Genomic DNA, 17,709 nt, shown 5'->3' on the forward strand with positions numbered 1-17,709 from the left:
ACATTTCTAACAACTTTAGCCAAAGATCTGGGTTCTTTGAAGCCTCAAAGAACCCTCCTGGTAAGGGTACTCTGCATAGATCTGCATATTCTCCCATGGCCCCAAAAGACTAAAAGCCCAGGCTTGTACCCCGCCCTCGCTGTTGAAGGATCCTCAGAGAAAGTATGTTGAGAATCCATGAAAAACTAATTTAAAAGATTAAAATGTGCCCTGCAGCTCACCCTCTCTAGAAAACACTACAGGAGAAAAACAAACAAAGAATATAAGCAAAGTACTAAAAATCCCTATGTAAATTAAACTCTGTTGTTATACCAAAGATTGCTCAAAGGAAAAAAAATTATCATCTTTCCAAGAATTTGTAAATCCCTCTTCAACTGGTTGGAACGGAAATTACAAAATGCTACCCCCCACTGGTCGGCAAAAGCCACCACTTAAATGGAAAAGCTTCCCTTGAATCAAATGAAGTCCCAGACAGAGGTATGCACTGTGTGCTGTCACTACCAACATGAGGACCTACTCAGGGACAGATAGAGTGCAGGGATACCTCAGGGCAGGGGTGTCCATTCTTTTGGCTTCCCTGGGCCACATTAAAAGAATTGTCTTGGACCGCACATAAAATACACTAGGAACAATGATAGTTGGTGAGAAGAAAGAGAAGGAAGGAAGGAAGGAAGGAAGGAAGGAAGGAAGGAAGGAAGGAAGGAAGGAAGGAAGGAAGGAAGGAAGGAAGGAAAGGAGGGAGGGAGGGAGGAAGGTGGGAGGGAAAGAAAAGAAAAGAGAGAGGGAAAGAGAGAGAATCTCATAATGTTTTAAGAAAGTTCATGAATGTATGAATTTATGTTGGGCCGCATTCAAAGCATCCATTCAATCACTGTTTTCTCCTCCCAGAGAATTCTGCATGTAGTCAGGCTCTGGAGCTGCATGGTCCAATATGGTAACCCCCAGCAGACCCTGAGGACTTGTCATATACCTCACATGGCTGAAGAATTGAATTTCTCGTTTTATTTCATCTTCAATGATTCAAATTGAAAATACTCAATGCTGTTAGTGGAAAACATTTCATTGTGTTTGGAACCACCTGAATCTACTTTTTCAGTGAAATTTTGTTAAACGTAAAAACAGATCAAATGTTTCCAATGAAACTGTTGCATCGAAATGGAGATATACTCTGAAGTATAAATTACGCATCTGATTCAAAGACAGTATGAAAAACACGTCAAATATCTCACAAGTAACTTTTATTATTGACTACCTGTTGAAATATTATTTTAAATATATCTAATTGAATAAAATGTATTATTAAAATTAATTTCACTTCTTTTTTACTCTTTTTAAAGTAGCTACCAGACAATTTTAAATTACAAGTGGTTCGCATTATATTTCTATTGGACAGAACAGCTCTAGAGATTCCAATCAGCTTAAGCCTTCAACTTTAAAACTCCTTAATCATTTTTACGCATGGAGTTCTTTGGCAGTCTGGTGATGACTATTATTACCTCAGAATAATGTTTATAAATGAATAAAATATGTAAGAGTCCAAAGGAACCTAATTATACTGAACTGTAGTGAGCAAAATATTCTTAAATAATCATGCTTTTTCTTAAGGCACTGAAGAACAATAAATAAATAATGGTGAATCTATTAGCTACTGTAGTGATAAGAGTAAATGAGATTGCAATGTGATATTAAAATATCTGAGATTCCTACTGACGACAAAGTCATAAGTATTGCTTCTGTCACTGTGGTTTGTTGCCTACATTCATAATTCAAGGAAATGCTCAAATTCAGTTAGGGGTTAGTGAAAGTGTAGATAGATAACTCTTAGCCCACCCAAATTTGCAGATCCCCTATTTCTCTGACAGACTTTTTGGGGACCCGTGGATTCCAAGGTTAAGAATGCTGTTTTAATGCCTGATGAATCTGTGTGTCTGTTTGTCAAAGATGACCCCCATCCTTAGGATGTAATTTTGCCTTGGCTCATTCCTGTCAATTTGGTGTTCATGACTCATAATTCCTGTTTTTGACCACAACTAAACCAATATTAGAAGGAAGTGCTTGCACTTGTTTTTTTCCGATACTTTTGCTCTGCAAAGGGAACAGGAAGAACAGCAAGGAGTGTATATTTAAAAGAAAAGAGCACCTTAACTACGTACCAAAACACAATTCTTTTGATCTAATGATTAATTTGTGTGTGTTAGAATATTTACCAACCAGAAAGACCACATAAGGCCGGGCACGGTGGCTCGCGCCTGTAATCCCAACACTTTGGGAGGCCGAGGCGGGTGGATCACGAGATCAGGAGATCAAGATCATCCTGGCTAAAACAGTAAAACCCCATCTCTACTAAAGATACAAAAAATTAGCCAAGCGTGGTGGCGGGCGCCTGTAGTCCCAGCTACTCGGGAGGCTGAGGCAGGAGAATGGCGTGAACCCAGGAGGTGGAGCTTGCAGTGAGCCAAGATCATGCCACTGCACTCCAGCCTCGGCGACAGAGCGAGACTTCATCTCAAAAACAAACAAACAACAACAAAAAGCCACATAAATATCACTGGCACTTCATATAATTAACTGTACAAAGTATTTCCTGTTGTTTGTCTTGACAAACACTTTCATAACACTTACCATGTGCAGATACTGTTCTAAGGACTACAAATACTAACTCTGCAATCCCTAATACAACCTATGAGTCAAGTACTATTATTATCCCCCTTTTACAGATGAGACAACTGAGGCTCAGGGAAAGGTTAAGTAATTTGCCCAAGGTCACAGAATTGGAATTCCAACAGAGAGCAGCTGCCTATGGTGTTCTCAAAGGGAGGGCAATGCCAAACGAAAACAAGCAACAAGACTCTACTCATTGCAAGTGAGCAAAGGTTCTGATCAAATCTTCATTCTTGCTTCCAAATCACTTGCTGAAAAATTAAAACTAGATAAGTAAGGACAGCTGCCTTTATACCTTCTGGCCTATTCACAGGCAGATTTCCAGACGAAACCAAAGGCCTTCATGAGGAAAAACAAAGCTCCTCAGTCTCAGGGCAGCTAATGCTGGGCCTGGCATTTTTTCCACTCTTATCTAAAATATGCTACAGGAGAATCTAGGCCCAGTGATAAGCCAGGTTTCAACTTCACCTCCCCAGCCTGAGAGCGATTACACACATACTTGGGATTTAACCAGCAAGAGAAGGACACGGAAACCTGGGTCCCTCCGAGCCCAGTTTCTGTTGACACTGTTGCCAGGGCTGAGCCAATTGCACCAGTGTCAAGAGCTCCACAGGGAGGTTTCAGCAGGGAAACCAGCCCTACAGGTGTATCCAGGGAGGCAGGTGTACAAGGCCACATTCTTTCCTCCACTGAACAAATCAAGGTTTGTCTCCCTGCTGTGCGGGGCTCACAGGGCCAGATAAATCTCTCTCAGACAACAACCTCAGCACAGAAACAGTGTAGCTTGCTGCCACTCTGTAGCACCGAAAGTAAAATGCCAACCACTGAAAGAGAGAAGCAGATAATGTTACAATAACATTTATCTAGAAAGGCAATGTTCGTTAGGTAAAATTTAACTATGGCAAAAATCTTTAGGACAGATAGACTCAATAAATGTTTGTGGAACTGAAAACCTAGTGCTACCTTTTAAAAGGTTTCTTGGACTAATTTAAAAGCTTCATTTGGCTGTGTGAACTGGCATTCCCTTTCTAAAATGATAGAGTCCCAGTGGTAGCTATAATGTTAAATAAAATGACTTCATTTCCTCCAGAGGAATATTTTTACCCCAACCCCCCATACTCCGGCACTCAACTACTCAAGACTCCAACATCAGGGGGCAAAAAGTCAGGCCTATTAGGCCTGGATCGTTCTCAGATTAACAACCTTGGGGGAATAATCCTATAAGAAAATATTTTCAAGATTTTGGGTAATAACATTTTTGGGCCAGATGAAATTTGTTAGAGTTTGCACTTCTGTTTCTAAAAACCTCTGAAGCCATTTGTTTCCCACAGTTTTTTTCAGAAGCTATTTTGTGGGAAAGAAAGCCAGGGCCTAGGCAGCAGGCCAGCTAGAACGGGGTTGCTCTGAAAGAAAGCCAGCCCCGGCAAGCAGGAGCGACATGGGCAGCGCTTGCCAAGGTGGTTAATTTTTTACCTGGGTAGAGCCATAGGCACTGACATAGAAAATGTCTGTGACACGGCGGATCCGGAAACAGGCAAGATGCACAGGCAGTGGAGTGTCTGACCCCAGGTTTGTTGCTACAAATTACAAAGGAAGTTATGCCAAACTGAAATAGTTATCTACAGAGAGAAGGAGGAGGGGCGGGGTGTGTTGTCAGGCGGCACGGCGGGGAAATGGCAGTGCTGCGACAGAGGACCTCGACTCTGGACTACACAGCCTCGCACTCCAATCTCAGTTCTGCCACTTGTTGCTGGAGGAATCTTAAGTCAAGTTTCTTAAACACTCTCTGCCTCAGTTTCTTCACCTATAAACCACAGGCCCCAACCCCCAGGGCTGCTGGGATATATACCAAGCAGGTACTCAGAACAGTGCCTGGCACTGAGGAAGTGCCAGGTAAGGGCAGCTGTTGCTATTTGTGCAAATTCTGACATTTGTCATTCTGAACATAACCCTCATAACAAAAGAGGTACAACTGTTACCTCCACTGAGAGATGAAAGAATTGAGACTTAGAAAAATGAAGGAATTTGCTCAAAATCATGCAGTTAGCAAAAGACTACCTGTTTGTGAAATCAGAGCCCAGCAGTTTTAACCTCTCTCATCTGGTCTTTCTTCCCTTACTTAACTTCCCGAAAGAGAGAGACAGAGACAGAAAGAGAGAATGAGAGATGGGGAGAAACACAGAGACAGGGAGGAGGGGGGAAGCGAAGAAAACACGTTAGAGGTAAATAACTTTTTAAGCTAATAAAAAATAACCTTGGCCAGGTGTGGTGGCTGACGCCTGTAATCCCAAAACTTTGGGAGGCCAAAGCAGGAGGATCACTTGAGCCCAGCAGTTCAGGGCCAGCCTGGACAACACTGCCTCTTAAAACTAAATAAATAAATAAACGTAATTAATTGCAAATGAAATTCCACCAGGCCAAACTCTCAGTGGCTACATAGTAAGTGGTTACACCTCTCCTAGCCTCCTAGACCAGTTGCACCTTGATTCTAGCTGAGTTTCACTAAGCAGGGCAAATGAAGCAGGAGAAGGCTCGGAGGGAACCCACCTGAAATGAAGCTCAGCTGTCTTTGAAGAGTCTATCTATTCTAAGGCTCAGGAGTGGTGGCATGATGAATATCGCTGCTAGGAGAAGAAATGCAAAACCATATAACATTTTTGCCTTTCCATCCTTGAAATGCCTTACAATTTCCCTTGGAAAAAAAAAATTGTCTTGTAATTCTTATTTTTCTTTACTTCACTTTTTCATTTCCAGAACTGCTATGGTTCTGGCTGAAGTATCAGAATGACAACCATGGATCTTCTACAATGCCACCATCAGTCTCTCAGCAATTGTAGCAAAGGGAAAAACAACACCACTGAGGCCGCCAGTCACAATATTTACCCATGCCAGAGTGTTCTGTTTGTTTTCGGTGGAGGATGCAGAGAGTAGATAAACGAAAAGCAAAACTTCTCTGTGTCAAAACACAAGCTGAAGATGATTTCCTTCTCCACTGCCCATGTATGAAATATACACAAATCCAGGGCAGCCCTGGGCCGAAGGAGTGTTTATGGTTCTGCCCGGCCATAAACATGCCAGCCTTCAAAACACCAGGACATCAAACAAACAAGGCAGTTCCAGAAAGGATATATCGACTTTTGACGTCTAATGCTCTGGGTGAAATAACTTTGTTTCCCCTAAAAATAGATAAACTAAAATAAATATAAGAGTATTCTACAGCAATGTAGCTAGCCGCATCTTCCTGTGACTCACTGTTTGATAATAACTATGGGCCAGGAACTAAGTGCTTTTTGGTGGAATGACTGATGCTCTTCATACCAACTCGGTGAGGAATTTAAAATGACATCCCTTTGCAGATAAGGAGACTGAGTCTCAAAGAGGTAAATAACTATGTAGGTTTACATAGCCTGCCACCGGCATTTGGACCTTGGTGTGTGAGATTCTGTAGGGTGAAGTCTAACAAAATGGCCCCACCTTCAGTTAAGGATTCAAATGATCACCTAGTAGCCCTTCAACCAGGGTTAAAGCTAAACTCATTCAGAGTTTCTGGCTCTAAACCTCACTCTCATTTCTTTACAGTGAAACACAGAAATTTAAAAAATTCAAAGTAGGCATACTTTCAGGTGGCTAAAATTAAAAGATCATCAATACCAAGCGCCGACAAGGACGTTAAATAATGGAAACCCATAGACTACTCGTGGTAACATAAACTAGAAGAGCTGGAACACTGCTTAAAATTACCTATTGAAGGCAGGGCATGGTGGCTCACACCTGTAATCTCAGCACTTCAGGAGGCTGAGGCGGGAGGACCACTTGAGGTCAGAAGTTCAAGAACAGCCTGGCCAACATGATGAGACCCCATCTCTATATAAAAAATGCAAAAAAATTAGCCTGGCATGGTGGCACACACCTGTAATCCCAGCTACTTGGGTGGCTGAGACAGGAGAATCACTTGAACCGTGGAGGGAGAAGCTGCAGTGAGCCAAGATCACGTCACTGCACTCCAGCCTGGGTGACAGAGTGAGAATCCTTCTCAAAAAAAATTATGTTATTGGGATTAGAAAAATGCATAGTCTAACCCAATCCTACAAGTCCACTCTGAGGCATACCCTAGAGAAATGAAAATACATATATACCAAAAGGCATAATGACAGTATAATAATTTGTAATAGTCCAAACTACAAGCAACACAAATCTCATCAAAAGTAGGACACATGAGTAAATGTAGATATATGCATGCTATAGTATTATACAGAAGTCAAAATGGGCTGGGCACACTAGCTCACATCTATAATACAGTACTTTGGGAGGCGTCGATGGGTAGATCACTTGAGGCCAGGAGTTCAAGACCTGCCTGGATAACATGGCAAAACCCTGTCTCTACAAAAAAAAAAAAAAAAAAAATTTAGCTGAGGATGGTGGCACATGCCTGTAGTCCCAGCTACCCGCGGCGCTGAGGTGGGAAGATCGCTTGAGCCTGGGAGGTGGAGGCTGCAATAAGCCATGATTGCACCAATGCACTCTAGCCTTGGCCACAGAGCAAGACTTCATCTCAAAAAAAAAAAAAAGAAAAAGAAAAGAAAAAGGAATGAACTACAGCTACATGCGACATGGACAAATCTCAATACAATGTTGAGGAAATGAAGTCAGGTATAAAAGAATCCATACTGAGTGAATCTATCTGTACAAAGTTCCAAAACAAGAAAATGGGAATAGAGGTCAGGACAATGGTTACCAGGGAGCGAGCCTACCCGGGGGCTTCCTGGTTGCTATTATGTTTTAGTTCTTTGTTGTTGTTGTTGTTGTTTTGTTTTGTTTTGGGATGGAGTTTTGCTCTTGTTGCCCAAGCTGGAGTACAGTGGTATGATCTTGGCTCATTGCAACCTCTGCCTCCCAGGTTCAAGTGATTCTCCTGCCTCAGCCTCCCAAGTAGCTGAGATTACATGCATGCAGCACCACGCGCAGCTAATTTTGTAGAAAGGGGGTTTCACCATGTTGTTCAGGCTGGTCTCTAACTCTTGACCTCAGGTGATACACCCGCCTCAGCCTCCCAAAGTGCTGGAATTACAGGTGTGAGCCACCGCGCCTGGCCTAGTTCTTGATTGAACTGTTGTAACCCATATGGACTGACTTTGTGGTAACTCATCCACTGCGATTTATGCCCTTCTCAATCAAATGACCTCCCTCTCCTTCCCTCTTCCTCCCTCTTAAAACAAAAAAGTAGGGACATTCATAAAACCTTCAAGTCTAAATCAAGTTTTTGAGACTTACACAGGAAAAAATAGGTACAGTGTAAGACATTCTAAATTTAGCTCAATATTCTTAACATGCAGGAACAACTCTATGGAGAAATCCCTTCACCCTCCAATGTTCAACTCAGCAACATTTTAAACTCTGTTCACATCCAATAAAGACCTGCTTATTGTATCATCAAAAAGGTATGCATGCAATCCATCTCAAGAAGAGGCTTACCTGCACAGTGACTAGGGTTTACTGCAATGACAAAGTCATTTCATGCCTTGACCGAAAATAGCCTTAGACTGGGTAAAAACTGGGCATTCTCTGCAGTGGTTCCTAAGAGAAGCTGAGGTTAGTGTGGAATTAAATATCCTTATCTGCATGGGTAGACTTAACTTCCAAAAGTCGTACAGAAGACAACAGAGTTCCGGGTAATATGGCCCATATATCGGAGGTTTAAAGCTGATGCCCATGGTGCTTGTGAGCAAAAATACACATTTAGCCAGGCGGGGGAGCTCAGGCCTATAATCCCAGCACTTTGGGAGGTCAAAGCAGGAGGATCACTTGAGGCCAAGAGTTCGAGACCAGCCTAGCCAACATGGTGAAACCCTGTCTATATTAAAAATACAAAAATTAGCTGGGCACAGTGGCGTGTGCCTGTAATCCCAGCTCCTGGGGAGGTTGAGGCACGAGAATCGTTTGAACCCCGAAGGCAGAGGATACAGTGAGCTGAGATCGTGCCACTGCACTCCAGCTTGGCCAACTGAGTGAGACTGTAACTCAAAAAAAAAAAACAACAAAAAAAACCACATTTTGCCCCTTGTCCAGAGTAGAAAGAATTGTGGTGCTTCTTACAACTGCCAAAGCCAAAGCCTGAATGAGTTCTAAAAGTCTCTGGAAGTTTCTGAGGGCACAGTCACTCCAAAAGATACAAATCCTGGGACTCTGAACTAGCTTTGTTTGACAGCCCCTTCCTTTGGTTAAATTCCAAAAATATCTCAGGCTCACCTCAAGCTTACTGCATTCAAACGTTCTCTGATTTCTCCTTCCTCTCTACTGCATCCTTTGTCTTCTACTCCCTTAAGACATTATTCCTTTCCTACTTGCCCTTTACTCAAGTTGTCTTTATCCTCTTAGCTATACAATGATTTAATTCAGTACAAAGAACATCACTATTCTACCCATCACTGATTCCCCAGGGCAAGGCACTATGTCTGTGCACAGTAAGTGAGTGATGCTCTTTTTGTTATTTTGGTTTTTCCTTTTTTGAGACAGGGTCTGGAGTGCAGTGGTGTGATCATAGCTCAGTGTAGCCTCTACTTCCTGGGTTCAAGATCCTCCCACCTTAGCCTACTAAGTAGCTGGGACTACAGACATGGGCCACCATCCCAGCATTTTTATTATTATTATTATTATTATTATTATTATTATTATTATTATTATTGAGACAAGGTCTCCCTATGTTTCCCAGGCTGGTCTCAAACTCCTGGACTCAAGTGATCCTCCCATCTCAGCCTCCCAAAGTGCTGGGATTACAGGTGTAAGGCACCACGCCCATCCTAATGTCTTAATGGACAAATAAATAAATTCTCTCTTTTTTTTTTTTTTTTTTTTTTTTTGAGACAGAGTCTCACTCTGTCGCCCAGGCTGGAGTGCAGTGGCGCAAACTCGGCTCACTGCAAGCTCCACCTCCCGGGTTCACACCATTCTCCTGCCTCAGCCTCCAGAGTAGCTGTGATTACAGGAGCCCGCCATCACGCCCAGCTAATTTTTTTGTATTTTTTAGTAGAGACAGGGTTTTACCGTGTTAGCCAGGATGGTCTCGACCTCCTGACCTCATGATCCGCCTGCCTCAGCCTCCCAAAGAGTTGAGATTACAGGTGTGAGCCACCGCGCCCGGCCAATAAATTCTCTTTTAATACTAGCAACAACAGAGACAAGTATCTTTCTGTTCTTGTCAAACCAATGACTGCAGCTCTGTATGTTTCCGGAGTGATTTAAACTTGCCAGATGAGCTTTTAGCCAGTCAAACTGATTTTCCTTTGAGCCTAGATTCCTCATGTGGAAAAGCTCCCAGAAAAGCTTGACTAGATAAGAAAAAAGTGATGTCTAGACAATTCTGCGTTAGCCTTCTGCTGGGAAAACCTCCAGCTGTTTCACTGAACCTCATACAACCAAATCATAGTTCACATTTCACAGATTCCTCACCAGGGTTTTGACATCTTGGGGGAAAAGAACTGAAGAAGGGTGGGCAAGACATCTGACTATAGGGCGGTTTCTAATAAAGCAATAAGTACAAACAATTCCAAGAAAACTAGGATGTCACTGGTCCCTGTGGTCACCAAACAAGAAGGATGTCTGTCCTATGTAAGGACACTGAAGAGGGGAAAAAGTGCGTAATCCTAATTTAATTATAATATTTTTTCCTATAATCAGAGAGGAGAAAGTCACCCAAGCTTGAAGCCAAAATTATAAATTTCATTGTCCACACAAATTGTACAAGATTTCCCTTGAGCAGACTGCAGGGAGGTGGGCTCTTGTTATCCTTCCTTCCTTTCAACTCTTCCATTTCTGTCTGTAATTTCCCCACCTTTGTTTCCATATAACTTCACCATCCTTGCTCCTATATGGCCACAAAGAAAATTCTGAGAAAAGAGTTGAAATACCCCAGTTAAATAGATTCCTTCCTTGTCTATTAAGAAGACATCACTCTTATTTACTTTCTGTACCTTGGCTCTAAGCTATAAGTTCATCTGTCTTTTCTATGCTATAGGCAGTACAGAGCATGGGCCAGCCTGAAATGGCAGGCCTGCAAAAATTGATATGCCAAATGAGAAATAAGAAAACTTGCTTTCAACTAACATGAAATCCCGGAATAACCTTTGAATTTCCATGACACCATTCATCTAGGGATAAGAGGGGAAGGCAGAAGGGGGCATTCCTGTGTCCATTTGGTGTACCCCTGCAACAGGCTATTACCACTTACTGCAATGCATTAAAGGTAGGACAGACAGCTAGGAAACGAACTGGTCTCTGTCCAGTCGAAGAATTAGTCAACACAAATCTACAGAAGTCACCTTGAGCTTGGTACTATCTACCCATAATGCATTTCCCCTCACCTCTTTAAATTCATTCAGTTATTCAGCCCCTCCCTTCCTGGGTGGTAACTACAACTGTTATTTTCAACTCCAGTTCCTTATGCAACACTGCAAAATGCATAACTGAACTGTACACTGTTAACTAAATAGATGATCAGTATAATAAAGAGTCCTCATGTAAATTAAGGAAAACATGTAAAAACCCCCCAAAAATCCACTGAAAAATCATTTGTGCATTCAACATAGAAAGACCCTTAAATATGCTATGCAGGGTATCTTAGAAAATAATATTAAAATGAAGCCCTCTTGGAGAAACTAATGACTTGTTTTTAAAGGTCTAGTGAGTGCCTAGATAGTGCCTTACTAAGGCATTCCGCAGAAAACAGGGTTCCTTGTATTCAGCGCAGTCAGGAGGTGAACTGATATCAAAGAACCACATCCATTCGTGTCATTTTACACGTTTCAAGAAACAAACTTTCCAATAAAGACAGACTCCATTCCTCTTCCCCCAACCTTCCTGTCAGGCTTCCCTTAATAAAGTTTCTGCCAGATAAACATCATGAATGTTCCATTGTGCTGAGAAGAAAGAAGTTTACAGCAAATTGCTTGGTTAGAGCTAAGAGTCTGGGAGCCACCTGAGCAAATCAGCTAAGTGCTTTGGAAAAAGCTATTTCCAAATTGGGACAGCTTCCATGAAGTGACTGGGCATAGTCTTCATGAAGAGGTTGTTTGTCTCCTCCTATCCGTCATATCAGTAGTTTCAAGATAAGAAGAAAGCATATTTGGACTGTTTGTTCTCATGGACATTAATCTGATTGTATTTTTTTTTTTTTTTTTTTTGACGGAGTCTCTCTCTGTCGCCCAGGCTGGAGTGCAGTGGTGCGATCTCCGTTCACTGCAAGCTCTGCAGTGGTTCACGCCATTCTCCTACTCAGCCTCCTGAGTAGCTGGGACTACAGGCACCCGCCACCATGCCCGGCTAATTTTTTTTTGTATTTTTAGTAGAGACGGGGTTTCACCATGTTAGCCAGGATGGTCTTGATCTCCTGATCTCGTGATCCACCCGCCTCGGCCTCCCAAAGTGCTAGGATTACAGGCGTGAGCCACCGCGCCCGGCCTCTGAATTGTATTTTTCAAGTGTACTAAAGTTCCTCCAGGAACTACACACACAACAAATGTACTTTCCAACTTGCTTATTTAGGAAGATCAGCTTTGTTACATCAAAACGTCCATTAGAAAGTCATGACACTGGCCAGGCGAGGTGGTTCACGTCTGTAATTACAGCACTTCGGGAGGCTGAGGTGGGAAGACTGCTTGAGGTCAGGAGTTCAAGACCAGCCTGGCCAACATGGTGAAACCCAATATCTACTAAAAACGCTGGGCGTGGTGGCCCACATCTGTAATCCCAGCTACTCAGGAGGTTGAGACACAAGAAACACTTGAACATGGGAGGCAGAGGTTGCAGTGAGCAGAGATCATGCCACTGTATTCCAGCCTGGGCAACAGAGCGAGACTCTGTCTCGGGGGGAAAAAAAAAAAAAAAAAGAAGCAGAAGAAAAAGAAGAAGAAGAGGAGAAAAGAAAAAGAAAGTCACAAAAAAATGAGCAGAGAAATTAGGTTTTACCTCAAGTGTCAGCAAAAAAAAAAAAAAAGTTAAAACAAGATGAGTTTTTTTTTTTAAACACTGCATATAAAACAATGAAGTAATTTGTTCAGAGAGTTCTGCTGTTAAAATAATGACAATCTGGCCAGGCGCAGTGGCTCACGTCTGTAACCCTAGCACTTTGGGAGGCCAAGGCAGATGGATTGCCTGAGCTTAGGAGTTCGAAAACAGCCTGGCCAACACAGTGGGGAAAAAAAAAAAAAATTAGCTGGGAGTGGCATTTGTAGTCCCAGCTACTGGGAAGGCTGAAGCAGAAGAATTGCTTGAACCCGGGAGGTGGAGGTTGCAGTGAGTCGAGAGCGCACCACTGCACTCCAGCCTGGTCAACAGAGCGAGACTCTGTCTCTTAAAAAAAAAAAAAAAGTAGCTCGGCCAGGTGTGGTGGCTCACGCCTGTAATCCCACCACTTTGGGAGGCCAAGGTGGGTGGATCACAAGGTCAAGAGATCCAGACCATCCTGGCCAACATGGTGAAACCCCGTCTCTACTAAAAACACAAAAATTCGCTGGGCATGGTGTCATGCGCCTATAGTCCCAGCTACTCAGGAAGCTGAGGCAGGAGAATCACTTGAACCCAGAAGGCGGAGGTTGTAGTGAGCCAAGATCGCGCCACTGTACTCCAGCCTAGGTGACAAAGCGAGACTCAGTCTCTAAATAAATAAATAAATAAAAATAATGACAATGTAATGTAGGATGGGCAGTTTGTAACTTTTCTATAATAATTCTTATATGATTTTAAAAGGGCCCTATGCGAACTACTTTAACATGCACTATTTTACTTGAAATCGCACAACACTCCCAAAACAGGAGAAAAATTTCATAAAGACAGAGAGCTTTGCTTGTTGTATACATTTATTTATTTCAAGATTTGGCACAATGCCAGGGATAGAGTGGTACTTAATGATATCTGTGGACTGAAGGTCAACACTTTTTCATATATTAGACAAATACAGCTCATAATGATTAAGAAATTTGTCTGAGACCACAAGGCTGGGAAATGACTAAGCCAAGCTTCCAATGAAGGGCAGTGAGTCAGATTCCTGAGTCTAGTTCATCTAATATAATTGTTAAGGGTGTTAACATTAATCTTTACTGCATCACATTTCTGCAAGGAAGCTTTGAGCCACCATCCTGAAGACTGAGAAACCAACACAATTTTAACCCATTAAGCACAGCAACTGCCCTGCCCTGTCTTTCAATATCCTGTCCCTGTCTCATTCACAGTGTACCTCTGCCCCCAGTAATTACCTTAGCGTCAGAGATCCACAAACAAAAACAATGTTAAGACTTGAGAGAAGCCAAACCACTCACCTGCTGAGGTATGGCAGCCCTAACTGTGGGAGTATCACCTCCCTACTGATATCAAAATCAGACCCTACAAAGGAGAAAGAAAGGTCATCTGAAATCACCTTGACACTCCAAACAGGGACTTATATCTGTGGGTCAGAGAGTGAATGAGTCATAGAGAGAAGAACACTTCATAGAACAGGGCATGAGTCACTGGTTCCTTTCTTATTGAGATAGAAAGAAAGGTATATCCTTTTATACATCTTGGGGGTAGTGCGGGGGCGGGGGGAACCACCATCTCTTTCATTTGCTCCCATTCTCATAGCTCCATGAACTGTCCACAAGTTATCACCGGTGAGTATGTGGTTCTCTTTTCAAGGCAGGGCTATCGCCCTTAACTTCCACTCCTCTCCAAACTTCAGGTTGTTTAGCACTAACTCCACTCAGACAGATTTTTTGAGCAGCTGCACACCTTTGTCTCCCTGACCAGAATCCCCAGGAATCATGCAAATCCTCAGGCATATCCTAGGTTCACTTTCAGGGGATTCCCTGAGGATGCCCCTTTTTTATGTTCAACAGCCTTAGGAAGCCACCCCCAAGTCCAACAGATACACAGTCCCCTTTTTGTGGATGTCCAGGCCACACAAGAAATGGAAAGAATTTCAATAAGAAACTCTCCCGGAAACTATATGCATATGCATATCTACTTCTAGGTACTGATGATGCCAAGGACTCTTTCATAAAGACAAGCACATTCGCCAAAGCCCCAAGGCATAATTAGCCTTGCTCTAAAACTTTCCTAAGTGGCCAGAATCTACTGCATATATTTTTCTTAGCCAAGAAACAGATGTAGAGTATAAATGGTTTTCCACTGAGTACCTTCAAAACAGATGCAACTATTTGGTAAATGTTCCATCTGCCCAGAGTATCCATTGTCAATGGAGACCAGACATACAAACTCCGAGGATCATTTAATTCAGTGTTCAAAAGAACTTCCATCATTTGCATCCCAGCCTCCTGACTTTTGCCACATATGGGTACCACTTCTACTATTCCACGTTACCCTTTTTAAAACCACTTTATTTTCATGTAATTAAATATATTTTAAATGGAAACTTCATATCACCTCTAGGAATAGACATGCAGAACCAGCTGCCATAAAAATGAAGTAACTAAAAGCAAATACATTGAAAGCAAAATCTTGCCATTAAAAGGTATGGTCTCTCAATTAGGAAGGAAAATTAGCAAATGTTAGGGGGTGCTGAAGACATATTAACACCTGATAGAGACTTACTTGATGTAATCTCAAGAACTGAGAAAGGATTAATGGAAGAGGAGGAAAGGAATGAATTTGAACTGAAGCAGGAACTCAAGTGAGAAGACAAAATCTGAGGACTCTGTTTCACCCTTTTTTTTTTTCTTTTTGGTTTTGTTTGTTTGTTTTTGAGACGGAGTCTTACTCGGTCGCCCAGCCTGGAGTGCAGTGGCTCACTTCAACCTCCATCTCCCAAGTTCAAGCAACACTCCTGCTTCAGTCTGCCTAGTAGAATGCACCACCATGCCCAGCTAATATTCTGTATTTTTAAGAGATGGGATTTCGCCATGTTGGCTGGGCTGGTCTCGAACTCTGACCTCAAGTGATCCGCCTGCCTCCACCTCCCAAAGTGCTGGGATTACAGATGTGAGCCATCACGCCCCACCAGTCACCCTCCTCTTTATACTGCTTACTATGGGTTACTTCTCAGAGATAGAAGACGGTATCAATGCCACAATCTAGGGTAAATGACCAACTGGAGTGTGGTTTGTCCTCAAAACTTCCATGTATGAGATAGAGTCAGTAGTATACTTATTTCTATTTTCTAACCTTCTTCCCACAAAATATTTTGGACAACAAACTAAGAGTAATTTGCTAGCATCTCAGAAGCTAAACAGGTGACCAATGATGGCACTGCCAAAATACCCCATGGTAATTCCTATTCAGCTAAGTCAGTTAAAGCCCATACAGCAAAAGCCCTCTGAATTGGAAATACTAATGGAAGGGACAGTATTTTACCAAACTACAAAAAACAGCAAGGTGTTCTCTCTTCTGCAAGACTGACTTTTCAATAGCTAAAAGTTACACCAAAATAATAATAATAATAAATAATAGTTAGGTGCGTCTACCTATTTGTTTTATTCAATCACAGAAATCTCTGCCACCTTATAGAATCCTGAAATTTCTGCATCTTGCGACTGACAAAAAGAGAAAGGGCAACTATTGGGAGGCCAGGGCAGGAGGATTGCTTGAGCCTAGAAGTTCGAGGTCGCAGTGGACTATGATGGCACCACTGTACTCCAGGATAGGTGGGCAGGGGTAGGGGGGAGCGGGGAGAGTGGGGGCGCGGCCAAAGCCTAGAGATTATGGCCATAGAAATAAAATAGATTTGTGATCAAACCCCATTGCTGCTAATTACGAGGCATCAGCTTGTTCATCTGCAAGTGGGGATAATCTGCTTAAGGTGGTTTTGAAGACCAAATGAGGCAATGTACATAAAATGTCTGGCACAGTACCAGGCACACAGTTGCTTCTCCCTAAAATCCATGACACCTACTGAATTAGTCTTTTTTAAATCCATGAAATGAACATTACTTTAGCACTTACTCTCTTTCATATACCAAATGGTTAATAGACAGTAACCGTTGTTTTAAGTGTCGTACATGTATTAATACATTTAATCTCACAAAACTCTATGAAGTTAGCACTACCGCGATTTCCATTATACAGATGACAATACTGAGGCACAAAGAGGCTCAGCAACTTGCCCAGAGTCACAGAGTTAGTGGACAGTAGACCAGGATTCAAACCCAGACAGTCTGGCACCACAGCACATATTCCTAACTACCCATACCATGGTGCCTTTGAAATGCTGGAGAAACATCACTGAAAAAGCCCAAAAAGGTAGACAGAGTGATAGACAGTTGGACAGCTATGTGATAAAACAGCATGGTAAAATGTCAGTGGCAGAATCTAAGTAGCGGGCATACAGGTGTTTGCTAAAAAATTCTTTCAACGTTGCTGTATGTTTAAAATTTTTCATAAGAAAACATCGGGAGGAGAGCAAGGAAGAGCCCAGAGTGTCATCTCCTCCTCAAAGATGGAAGCGTACTGAAAAAAAAGGTTACGCCAATAATGTCAGGATGAAAGGATTTCCCCACCCCGACCTGCCTCCCCTCCAAAAAGTAACCCAGTTAAAATCTATAGGCCACAGATTCCAGTTACAGGTTGCCCCAACTGGGGCCAATGGCTGAGAAACAGAGAGAAGCAGATGGGCTGTAAAACTGGGTCCTCTGCCAGCTAAGCTAGAGAAACCATCTCCCAATTGAAAGTGTTAATGGAAATGCCAGGCCAAAGCAGTCGACAGGAAACGTTTCTTGACGCTGTACATGCAAACAAATATGGCTTCTCCTACAAAGACAAAGAATGCAGTGGTCCAACCAGGCCTGTCTTTAAGTACTGGCAAGCACCCAAGGCAAGTTAACAGATTTCAACTTCTCAGGCTCTATAGATGAGTACCAGCTCTTGAAGACCTCCCAGGGGATGGAAGGGAAGGAAGAGTGAGGAAGGGGATTTCATCCAGGTGAAGCTGAGCCAGCGATTAAAGGGGAGGAGGCGTGAGTCTGCAGCGGTAATGCCCACACCTGGGGGTCAAGGAGGAAACTGAGGCAGTGCTCTCAAAGGAGACAGGTTATGTCTTTCACAAATGCTCCTATGACTGGTGCTGTA

The 17,709-nt window shown here is 42.6% G+C and overlaps 1 protein-coding gene and 1 long non-coding RNA gene across 7 annotated transcripts in view, besides 1 other annotated feature; both read right to left on the minus strand.

Annotated features, from left to right (window-relative positions):
• Nucleotides 1-4,253, minus strand: part of MAGI1-IT1 (MAGI1 intronic transcript 1) — an 81,745-nt gene extending 77,492 nt beyond the window's left edge. Inside the window, exon 1 of the long non-coding RNA NR_145422.1 lies at nt 4,135-4,253. This is a non-coding gene — a long non-coding RNA (MAGI1 intronic transcript 1). The remainder of the gene's footprint in view (nt 1-4,134) is intronic.
• Nucleotides 1-17,709, minus strand: part of MAGI1 (membrane associated guanylate kinase, WW and PDZ domain containing 1) — a 685,393-nt gene that overhangs the window by 596,780 nt on the left and 70,904 nt on the right. The window lies entirely within an intron of this gene.
• Nucleotides 13,479-14,678: an enhancer, noted in NCBI's record as "P300/CBP strongly-dependent group 1 enhancer chr3:65949459-65950658 (GRCh37/hg19 assembly coordinates)". NCBI's record gives its function as "activates an origin of replication core promoter dependent on BRD2, BRD4, P300/CBP, MED14 and CDK7 cofactors, with strong dependence on P300/CBP, by STARR-seq in HCT116 cells {active_cell/tissue: HCT116}" and the evidence as "EXISTENCE:reporter gene assay evidence [ECO:0000049][PMID:35650434]".

Source organism: Homo sapiens, chromosome 3 (genome assembly GCF_000001405.40).
Source record: "Homo sapiens chromosome 3, GRCh38.p14 Primary Assembly".
Taxonomy (NCBI): domain Eukaryota; kingdom Metazoa; phylum Chordata; class Mammalia; order Primates; family Hominidae; genus Homo; species Homo sapiens.